This window comes from Homo sapiens, chromosome 8 (genome assembly GCF_000001405.40).
Source record: "Homo sapiens chromosome 8, GRCh38.p14 Primary Assembly".
NCBI classification, from domain to species: Eukaryota; Metazoa; Chordata; class Mammalia; order Primates; family Hominidae; genus Homo; species Homo sapiens.
The window spans coordinates 73,051,193-73,063,907 of NC_000008.11; positions in this window are offsets into that span (position 1 = coordinate 73,051,193).

The following is a 12,715-nucleotide window of genomic DNA, read 5'->3' on the forward strand; positions in this document are numbered from 1 at the left end:
CTGGTTCAGTCTCCCCCTAAGAGTATAGTCTTTCAGTGTCCTCATTTAATTATTCCCATCTCAATGTGTCCTTGGGCTTTGACTTCTGGCCCCCTTGCTGAGGAAGAGAAGACAATAATGGAAGTAAGAAGTATAGGACCCCCTTTCCTCCAAGGCTAAGATTCAGACCTCTTCAAAGAGAGGACCTTCCTACACCTGGACCACAGCCCACAGCGGGGAAGAAACTGGCCAGAGGGCACAGGTGGTGCTAACCTGGAACAGCAGCCCAGGAGGGTGTGGCTGGGTGGAAAGGTGGCCTGGGGGCAACTGGAACTCATCCACATCACTCCCCCCCTGAATAATAATGATAGGACCAGGACTGGAAGGGAATGGTCTTCCTGTCCTTTCACTCCAGAGACCCTCCAAAGCCCTCTGTTGGTAAAGCTTAATGATCATTGTGTCAACAGATGTTTACAGAGTCCAGCCCATGTCCATCTATCACAAAGCAGGGCAGAGAAGGGTGGATTTGGAGCTGAGAGCCATTATATTGATAACTGGCACATAAAGTGCTTTTATTTTTTTCAACTTACTCCCAACACACACACACACACACACACACACACACACACACACACGCACGCACGCACACCCCTTCATATGTCAAAATGACATTAAGTTTCATTTAAATGTATCCTATATTGAAAGAGCAAAAAAAAAAAGTGACAGTTTGACTCAAGAAATGCAATGGTTTATATGACCTACAACTCTCGAAGGAAAAGAGTAATAATTTTGCAATGTTTTGATGATATTTACAAGTCATAATTTAAAGAGATACATAATTTTTCCCTTTCTACGTAAGTCCTCAAGGAACTCACATCTGTTTTAGCCCAGATTTGTATAGTGTTTTGCTTTGCATGGATTATCTCATTTAATTCTTGCAGAACTTTGATGAATGGTATTATTAATTAGCAGAATGGTAGTAGTAACAGGCAAAGTGGTATTGTTAATTGCATGTAATAGATAAGGAATCAAGCTTCAGTTATTTTGACTTGCCCAAAATTGATTTGGTAAGTGACAGAACTTTATTTGCTGATAGTCCACAATTAAAACTTTTCATTATTCAGGTAGAATTCTTTTCCCTTTTATTCTATACATGTTGATATGCTTGTTATAAAGAAGCCTAGGCCTGTGATCTCGATACCCGTGGAGCTCTGCAGCTGCAGCAGATAGTAGAATGTATGGGAATTCACCCAAATGCACCTACAGTAGAAGTATTATTCATTATTTCAGAGATGCTTTTTCCTCTGTGTCTGGTTATAGATCAGTTGGCATGGCATCAAGCAGGTTGATGTTCCTCTTATCCCAAGCCCCAAGCCTTACTTTTTCTTTTTTTTGTTTTTGTTTTTTTGAGACAGTCTCACACTGTCGCCCAGGCTGGACTGCAGTGGCACGATCTCTGCTCACTGCACCCTCTGACTGCTGGATTCAAGTGATTCTCCTCCTCAGCCTCCCAAGTAACTGGGACCACAGGTGCTTGCCACCACACCCAGCTAATTTTTTTGTATTTTTAGTGGAGACAGGGTCTTGCCATGTTGCCCAGGCTGGTCTTGAACTCCTGGCCTCAAGCCATCGTCTCACCTCGGCCTCCCAAAGTGCTGGGATTACAGGCATGAGCCACCACGCCCAGCCATTCCAGCCCTTTTTACTTTTACCAAGTGGTTACCACAACAACTTTGATGAGCTGTTATTCAAAGGAATCCTGTGATGAGCAATTTTGAAAAGAAAAATGATCTCTGTATTATATATTTGGAATTTTGAATAGGAAGTAGGTTAAACATGTGTTTAACACTTAACACATCCCAGGGGCCTCTCAATTGTGGCACAGTGTGACCCCTACATGCTGTATGTGTATGAAGCACAGCAGAAGCACAGAGGCAAAACACACCTCAGTCGGCTTCCCTTGAGTTCCCTTTTAAAGAGTCTTTTCTATATTTCTGGATCATTCCTTTCTTTTTTATGTTTTTTTTGGTTTTGTTTTGTTTTGAGACAGGGTCTTGCTCTGTCACCCAGGTTGGAGTGCAGTGGTGCAATGACTCACTGCAACCTCTGCCTCCTGGACTCAAGCAATCCACCCACCTTGGCCTCCCCGAGTGCTGGGATTACAGGAGTGAGCCACCATGCCCAGCTTTTTAATTTTTTTTTTTTGAAACCTATTACAGTAACTCCCTGAGATGAAGATGAGACGTTTAGCTTCCTCACACTCCCTCCTCCTCCTCCTTCCCCATGCACCTCCCATGCTTTGTTCAATGTTACTCTCCTTTTACTTGCTTAAGGTACTCTTTCTTATGCCATTGACTTTAGACGGAATTCCTTGGCTTTACTGAGTAAGATGGGGAAATTAGAAATCTGCAGTCCCCAATGTTAACACTCACTCATTTTGTTAGCTATGACTATTTCATTGTCAAGCGGTTGGTTGGTTGGTTAGTTGGTTGGTTGGTTTGTTTTGTTTTGGTTTCACCATTCATACACAGTCTGTCCACTAATTATAATTTTTTGTGCTTTATGTGTGGGTAGATTCTAAAAAGTCAGAAACCAATAAACCTGTATTATGATTATATAGTATATTATTCACATTAGTTCCTAGAAGTGTGGTTGACTCATTAAAAATGTAATCCTATATTACAAAATTCATACAACTAAAGTGTCAAAGGAAATTAATGTTCTCTGTTTCCCCCCTCAATAGCTCAGGATCATGCCACATTTAAGCTTCATATTTTGATCATGTTTTTATTTTCAGTTTCATCCTGAAACTTTTATTTCCAGTTTTATGAAAGTAGTACATGTTCACACTTTTAAAACTGAAATAGTTCCACATGGCTTAAAATGCAAAACACGCTTCCCTTTCACTACCCTTTGGTGCTTCCTAAAAGCCACCATTCTCAACTCTTTTAGCTCTTCCCTTAGCTATTGATTTTTGTATTTGTTAAAAACATGCTCTTACTGCTGTTTGTTGTTTTTCAGTTTGAGATATTATATTATGATTATTATTATTAATATTAGAGACAGGGTCTTGCTCTGTTGCCCAGGCTGGAGTGCAGTGGTGCAATCTCAGCTCACTGCAACCTCTGCCTCCCCGGCTCAAGCAATTCTCCCACCTCAGCCTCCTGAGTAGCTGGGACCACAGGTGTGCATCACCACGACCGTTTTTTGTTTTGTTTTGTTTTGTTTTTAAGGACACAGGGTTTCACCACGTTGCCCAGACTGGTCTCCATCTCCTGGACTCAAGCGATCCACCCACCTCAGCCTCCCAAAGTGCTGGGATTACAAGCGTTGAGTCACCGCGCCTGGCCAGAGATAATATCTTATTGACCTCCTCTATATGGGATGCTGTGCCCGGCCACACCTCACATACACACATTGCACTCACACATGTGCTTCTCCTCCCCAGTTCCTTCAGCATGTTTATGCCAGTTTTTGTTGAATCAGTAGTAAGTGTTCATATTATGTTAACTCTGTAATTGTTCTTTACACCTGAGCTGTGTAGTTTCTATGTACATGTCACTTATTCATCTCCAAATTCTCCAACCAAATTGAAAATCTCAGAACATAATGAAAGATGTAGGCCCTCCTTCGGATTGCATTGTTTTTTGGAGCCATCCCTGCCCCTGCTCCCAGGTAGTCTGGCTGCTCTGCAGGCCTGCTGCAAGCTGTCAGGCTTACATTGCCCTTCGTCTGCACTCTGGGGATCCTCATTTCTCTCCCAGGTTGTGTTCCTTATTACCTGGACCCTCTTGCTTGGTTTACACTCCTGTTTAGATAGAGCACCTCCTCCTGTACCTTCACAGAAAAAGCACAGAGAATGGAAAACTCATATCTTGCATGTCTGAAAAAATCCTTATTCTGCCTTACATTTGAATAATAATTTTATAGGATATAGAATTTTAGTTTGGAAAACATTTTCCTTCCGAATTTTAAAGGCATTGCTCTGTTGTCTTCTAGTTTCAAATGTTGCTTTACATAAATATTCTGATGCAATTCTAATTACTGATTATTTGCACATGACCTACTTTTTTCTCTCTGGAATATTTTAGATTCTTGGGTATCTGATAATCTGGAATTTCATGGTAAGATGCCTTGTTGTGAACCTTTTTTTATTTTTTATTTTTATTTTTTGAGATAAGTTCTTGCTCTGTCACCTAGGCTGGAGTGCAGTGATGTAATCACAGCTTGCTGCAGTCTTGACCTCTTGGGCTCAAGTGATCCTTCTGCCTCAGCCTCCCAAGTAGCTGAGACCGCAAGCACGCACCACCACACACAGCTGATTTTTTAAACTTTTGGTCCATTCCAAGATGGCCGAATAAGAACAGCTCTGGTCTGCAGCTCCCAGCGTGATTGACGCAGAAGACGGGTGATTTCCGCATTTCCAACTGAGGTACCTGGTTCATTTCATTGGGACTGGTTGGACAGTGGGTGCAGCCCACGGCAGGTGAGCTGAAGCAGCCTGGGGCATCACCTCACCCGGGAAGTGCAAGGGGTCAGGGGATTTCCCTTTCTTAGCCAAGGGAAGCCATGTCAGACTGTACCTGGAAAGTCAGGACACTGCCGCCTAAATACTGGGCTTTTCCAATGGTCTCAGCAAACGGCACACCAGGAGATTATATCCCACACCTGGCTCAGCTGGTCCCACACCCACGGAGCCTTGCATACTGCTACCACAGCAGTCCCAGATCGAACTGTGAGGTGGCAACCTGGCTGGGGGAGGGGCGCCTGCCATTACTGAGGCTTGAGTAAGTAAACAAAGTGGCTGGGAAGCTCCAACTGGGTGGAGCCCACCACAGCTCACCAAGGCCTGCCTGCCTCTGTAGACTCCACCACTGGAGCCAGGGCATAGCTGAACAAAAGGCAGCAGAAACCTCTACAGTCTTTTTTTTTTTTTTTTTTTTGAGACAGTCTCACTCTGTCACCCAAGCTGGATGCAGTGGCGCGATTTCAGCTCACTGCCAGCCCCGCCTCCTGAGTTCATGCCATTCTGCTGCCTCAGCCTCCCGAGTATCTGGGACTACAGGCACCCACCACCACACCTGGCTAATTTTTTGTATTTTTAGTAGAGACAGGGTTTCACCGTGTTAGCCAGGATAGTCTCGATCTCCTGACCTTGTGAACTGCCCACCTCGGCCTAAACCTCTGCAGTCTTAAACGTCCTTGTCTGACAGCTCTGAAGAGACCAGTGGTTCTCCCAACATGGTGTTTGAGCTCTGAGAACTGGACAGACTGCCTCCTCAAGTGGGTCCCTGACCCCTTTGTAGCCTAACTGGGAGACACCTCCCAGTAGAGGCCTACTGACACCTCATACAGGCGGGTGCCTCTCTGGGACGAAGCTTCCAGAGGAAGGATCAGGCAGCAATATTTGCTGTTCAGCAGCCTCCGCTGGTAATACCCAGGCAAACAGGATCTGGAGTGGACCTCCAGCAAACTCCAATAGACCTGCAGCTGAGGGACCTGACTGTTAGAAGAAAAACTAACAAACAGAAAGGAATAGCATCAACATCAACAAAAAGGACATCCATACCAAAACCCCATCTGTAGGTCACCATCATCAAAGACCAAAGGTAGATAAAACCACAAAGATGGGGAGAGACCAGAGCAGAAAAGCTGAAAATTCTAAAAACCAGAGCGTCTCTTCTCCTCCAAAGGATCACAGCTCCTCACCAGCAACGGAACAAAGCTGGACGGAGAATGACTTTGACAAGTTGACAGAAGTAGGCTTCAGAAGTTTGGTAATAACAAACTCATCTGAGCTAAAGGAGGATGTTTGAACCCATTGCAAGGAAGCTAAAAACTTTGAAGAAAGATTAGACGAGTGGCAAACTAGAATAAACAGTGTAGAGAAGACCTTAAATGACCTGATGGAGCTGAAAGCCATGGCACAAGAACTACGTGATGCATGCACAAGCTTCAATAGCCGATTCGATCAAGTGGAAGAAAGGGTATCAGTGATTAAAGATTAATGAAATAAAGCGAGAAGTTTAGAGAAAAAAAGAGTAAAAATAAATGAACAAAGCCTCCAAGAAATATAGGACTATGTGAAAAGACCAAATCTACGTTTGATTGGTGTACATGAAAGTGACAAGGAGAATGGAACCAAGCTGGAAAACACTTTTCAGGATATTATCCAGGAGAACTTCCCCAACCTAGCAAGGCAGGCCAACATTCAAATTGGGAATTACAGAGAACACGAAAAGATAACTCCTCGAGAAGAGCAACCCTGAGACACATAATTGTCAGATTCACCAAGGTTGAAATGAAGGAAAAACTGTTAAGGGCAGCCAGAGAGAAATGTAGGGTTAACCACAAAGGGAAGCCCATCAGACTAACAGCAGATCTCTCGGCAGAAACTCTGCAAGCCAGAAGAGAGTGGGGGCCAATATTCAACATTCTTAAAGAAAAGAATTTTCAACCCAGAATTTCATATCCAGCCAAACCAAGCTTCATAAGTGAAGGAGAAATAAAATCCTTTACAGACAAGCAAATGCTGAGAGATTTTGTCACCACCAGGCCTGCCTTACAAGAGCTCCTGAAGAAAGCACTAAACATGGGAAGAAACAACCAGTACCAGCCACTGCAAAAACATGCCAAATTGTAAAAACCATCGATGCTAGGAAGAAACTGCATCAACTAATGGGCAAAATAACCAGCTAACATCATAATAACAGGATCAAATTCACAAATAACAATACTAAACTTAAATGTAAATGGGCTAAATGCCCCAATTAAAAGACACAGACTGGCAAATTGGATAGAGTCAAGAGCTGTCAGTGTGCTGTATTCAGGAGACCCATCTCACGTGCAGAGACACACATAGGCTCAAAATAAAGGGATGGAGGAAGATCTACCAAGCAAATGGAAAGGCAAAAAAAGCAGGGGTTGCAATCCTAGTCTCTGATAAAACACTTTAAACCAACAAAGATCAAAAGAGACAAGGCCATTACATAATGGTAAAGGGATCAATTCAACAAGAAGAGCTAACTATCCTAAATATATATGCACCCAATACAGGAGCACCCAGATTCATAAAGCAAGTTCTCAGAGACCTACAGAGAGACTTAGACTCCCACACAATAATAATGAGAGACTTTAACACCCCACTGTCAATATTAGACAGATCAATGAGACAGAAGGTTAACAAGGATATCCAGGACTTGAACTCAGCTCTGCAACAAGCAGACCTAATAGACATCTACAGAACTCTCCACCCCAAATCAACAGAATATACATTCTTCTCAGCACCACATCGCACTTATTCCAAAATTGACCACATAGTTGGAAGTAAAGCACTCCTCAGCAAATGTAAAAGAACAGAAATCACAACAAACTGTCTCTCAGACCACAGTGCAATCAAATTAGAACTCAGGATTCAGAAACTCACTCAAAACTGCACAACTACATGGAAACTGAACAACCTGCTCCTGAATGACTGCTGGGTAAATAACTAAATGAAGGTAGAAATAAAGATGTTCTTTGAAACCAATGAGAACAAAGACACAACATACCAGAATCTCTGGGACACGTTTAAAGCAGTGTGTAGAGGAAAATTTATAGCACTAAATGCCCACCAAGAGAAAGCAGGGAGAGATCTAAAATTGACACCCTAACATCACAATTAAAAGAATTAGAGAAGCAAGAGCAAACAAATTCAAAAGCTAGAAGAAGGCAAGACATAACTAAGATCAGAGCAGAGTTGAAGGAGATAGGGACACAAAAAACCCTTAAAAAAATAAATGAATCCAGGAGCTGGTTTTTTGAAAAAAACAACAAAATTGATAGACCGCTAGCAAGACTAATAAAGAAGAAAAGAGAGAAGAATCAAATAGATGCAATAAAAAATGATAAAGGGGATATCACCACCGATCCCACAGAACTACAAACTACCATCAGAGAATACTATAAACACCTCTACACAAATGAACTAGAAAATCTAGAAGAAATGGATAAATTCCTGGACAGATACACCCTCCCAAGACTAAACCAGGAAAAAGTTGAATCCCTGAATAGACCAATAACAGGCTCTGAAATTGAGGCAATAATTAATAGCCTACCAACTAAAAAAAGCCCAGGACCAGATGGATTCACAGCCAAATTCTACCAGAGGTACAAAGATGGGCTGGTACCATTCCTTCTGAAACTATTCCAATCAATAGAAAAAGAGGGAATCCTCCCTAACTCATTTTTTGAGGCCAGTATCATCCTGATACCAAAGCCGGGCAGAGACACAACAAAAAAAGAGAATTTTAGACCAATATCCCTGATGAACATCGATGCAAAAACCCTCAATAAAATACTGGCACACCAAATCCAACAGCACATCTAAAAGCTTATCCACCACGATCAAGTTGGCTTCATCCCTGGGATGCAAGGCTGGTTCAACATATGCAAATCAATAAACGTAATCCATCACATAAACAGAACCAAAGACAAAAACCACTTGATTATCTCAATAGATGCAGAAAAGACCTTTGACAAAATTTAACAGTGCTTCATGCTAAAAACTCTCAATAAACTAGGCATTGATGGAATGTATCTCAAAATAATAAGATCTATTTATGACAAACCCACAACCAATATCATACTGAATGGGCAAAAACTGGAAGCATTCCATTTGAAAACTGGCCCAAGACAGGGATGCCCTCTCTCACCACACCTATTCAATAGTGTTGGAAGTTCTGGCCAGGGCAATCAGGCAAGAGAAAGAAATAAAGGGTATTCAATTAGGACAAGAAGAAGTCAAATTGTCCCTGTTTGCAGATGACATGATTGTATATTTAGAAAACCCCATTGTCTCAGCCCAAAATCTCCTTAAGCTGATAAGCAACTTCAGCAAAGTCTCAGGATACAAAATCAATGTGCAAAAATCATAAGCATCCCTATACACCAATAACAGACAAACAGCCAAATCATGAGTGAACTCCCATTCACAATTGCTACAAAGAGAATAAAATACTTAGGAATACAACTTACAAGGGATGTGAAGGACCTCTTCAAGGGGAACCTCAAACCACTGCTCAATGAAATAAAAGAGGATACAAACAAACGGAAGGACATTCCATGCTCATGGATAGGAAGAATCAGTATCGTGAAAATGGCCATACTGCCCAAGGTAATTTATAGATTCAATACCATCCCCATCAAGCTACCAATGGCTTTCTTCACAGAATTGGAAAAAACTACTTTAAAGTTTATATGGAACCAAAAAAAAGCCCACATTGTCAAGACAATCCTAAGCAAAAAGAACAAAGCTGGAGGCATCATGCTACCTGACTTCAAACTATAGTACAAGGCCACAGTAACCAAAACAACATGGTACTGGTACCAAAACAGAGATACAGACCAATGGAACAGAACAGAGGCCTCAGAAATAACACCACACATCTACAACCATCTGATCTTTGACAAACCTGACAAAAAGAAGCAATGGGGAAAGGATTCCCTATTTAATAAATGGTGCTGGGAAAACTGGCTAGCCATATGTAGAAAGCTAAAACTGGATCCCTTCCTTACACCGTATATAAAAATTAATTCAAGATGGATTAAAGAATTAAATGTTAGATCTAAAACCATAAAAACCCTAGAAGAAAACTTAGGCAATACCATTCAGGACATAGGCATGGGCAAGGACTTCATGACTAAAACACCAAAAGCAATGGCAACTAAAGCCAAACTAGACAAATGGGATCTAATTAAACTAAAGAGCTTCCACACAGCAAAAGAAACTACCATCAGAGTGAACAGGCAACCTACAGAATGGGAGAAAATTTTTGCCATCTACCCATCTGACAAAGGGCTAATATCCAGAATCTACAAAGAACTTAAACAAATTAAAAAAAAAAAATTCAACCCCATCAAAAAGTGGGCAAAGGACATGAACAGACACTTCTCAAAGGAAGACATTTATGCAGCCAACAGACACATGAAAAAATACTCATCATCACTGGCCATCAGACAAATGCAAATCAAAACCACAATGAGGTATCATCTCACACCAGTTAGAATGGCGATCATTAAAAAGTCAGGAAACAACAGATGCTGGAGAGGATGTGGAGAAAGAGGAACACTTTTACACTGTTGGTGGGACTGTAAACTAGTTCAACCATTGTGGAGGACAGTGTGGTGATTCCTCAGGGATCTAGAACTAGAAATACCATTTGACCCAGCCATCCCATTACTGGGTATATACCCAAAGGATTGCAAATTATGCTACTATAAAGACACATGCACGTGTATGTTTATTGTGGCACTATTCACAATAACAAAGACTTGGAACCAACCCAAATGTCCATCAATGATAGACTGGATTAAGAAATGTGGCACATATACACCATGGAATACTATGCAGCCATAAAAAAGGATGAGTTCATGTCCTTTGTAGGGACATGGATGAAGCTGGAAACCATCATTCTGAGCAAACTATCCCAAGGACAGAAAACCAAACACCGCATGTTCTCACTCATAGGTGGGAATTGAACAATGAGAACACCTGGACCTAGGTCGGGGAACATCACACACCGGGGCCTTTCGTGGGGTAGGGGGAGGAGGGAGGGATAGCATTAGGAGAAATATCTAATGTAAATGACGAGTTAATGGGTGCAGCAAACCAACATGGCACATGTATACATATGTAACAAACCTGCACGTTGTGCACGTGTACCCTAGAACTTAAAGTATAATAAAAAGAAAAAAAAAAAAACTTTTGTAGAGACAGAGGCCTCGCCATGTTGCCCAGGCTGGTCTCAAATTCCTGGGCTCAAGTGATCCACCCTCGTTGGCCTCCCACTGTGCTGGGATTATAGGCGTGAGCCACCGTACTGGGCCAGCCTTTCTTTGTAAACTAAGGAGCCTGGCACTCAGTAGGCTTTGACGTGCTCCCATTATTCAGGTGTTGTATCTTTTTGACTGATTCTCAAATGTCCTTATATTTTACCTCCTAATTTCTGTCTCTTTAATTTGTTTGTTTACTTTCTGGGGAAAATGGCATTAAGCTTTATGTTATAAATTTTCATAACATTTATGTATGACTATTAAACTTTTTAATCTTCAAGAGCTTTAAATATTCCTTTTTTAGAGCATCCTGTCCTTATTCCATGATTTATCATTTAATCTCTTCTGTTCCTGGTAGCGATCAGTGATTTATTTCCTCTGAGTTTTGTTATATTGCTTGTTTGTTGATGTTTAATTTTGGTTGCTCTTGCTAGTGGTTTTTCTCAAATGTCTGGTTGTCCTGTGCTGTCCATTTATATTTATGGGTAAGAACAAAAAAGTTGATTGAAACCAGATGAGGTGGTTCATGTCTATAATCCCAGTGACTTGGGAGGCTGAGGTGGGAGGATCACTTGAGTCCAGGAGTTTGAGACCAATCTGGACAACATAGCAAGTTACCATCTCTAAATAAATAAGTAATACTTAAAAAAGCTGATTCAAGTTCTGTGAGCACTGATAGGACATGTCAAATGTTATGAACTGCATGGTTGTGTCCCCGCAAAATTCATATGTTCAAACCTTTATCTCAAATATGATGGAACTTGGAGTTGGAGATGGGCCTTTGGGAGGTAATTAAGTCATGAGGATAGAGCCCTGATGATAAAATTAGTGCCCTTATAAGAAGGGACATGAAAAAGCTTTCCGTGCTTGCTCTCCTCTTTCTCTCACCTGTCCCATCTCTCTCTCTTCTCTCTCTTTCTCTCCCTCTGTCTCTCTCCCTGCAATGTGAAGACAGCGAGAAGGCATCCATCTCCAAACCAAGGAGAGGGCCCTCACCGGACATCAGATCTACTGGTACCTTAATCTTGGACTTTCCAGCCTCCAGAGCTGTGAGAAATAAATGTTTGTTTTTTAAACCACCCAATCTATGGTATTTTTTTTTTTTTTCATATAGCAGGCTGAACAAAGACATCCAGGTAGCGATATGCCTGTAGTGATTAGACACAGACATGGCTCTTTCATTAGGGGATCCTCAACTGTCAACACCTATTGTCATTTCTCTTGGATAATCCACTTCCTTAGAGAGGAATCTAACAAACTGGTGGGTAGGGATGAGAGGAGTGGCAGTGAGGGAGTGAAGGAGTGCCATATCTATCCCTGCTTGCAATATTCTCAGAGCACATGGAAAAGGGAACCAGGGGTCACCAGTCAGAATAGAGACTTTCATTCAGGCTTCATTCTGTCCTTGTGACTGGTGTTTCCAATCCAAACTCCTCCATAGACTGAACCTTCTGTCAGGCTGTTGACCCGCAGCATGGGGGAGGGAATCTAAAGCTCTGACTTCTTAGACCAACCATCAGCCATTCATTCCATTGAAGGAAATACCTGGAACCTTCAGTTCCAGAGCCTTTCCAGAGTGCTAGAAATTACCTTGCTTACTCAAATTCACCCGTAGATCTAGGTGTTTGGCTTTCTCCTCCGATTTTAGTAGCCATCTTTTCTGGTCCTGAAATGTGGCCATCTCTTCTGCGTTTTCTCTCTTGAACTCCTCATTATATATGGGCTTTGTTGTTGTTTTGGTGGGGGGATGGCTTTGAAAATCCCTTAACTGTAATTTTATTGGGAATTGGGACATAAATATATGTGTCCAACCTGCCATGTTTAACCAGAAAAAAGAATGTCCTGCTTAGGACCTTTTAATAAAGCTTCCGATCCTTGTGCTTTTAAAAGTCTGTATGTTACTTTCACACTTTATTAGTGATGG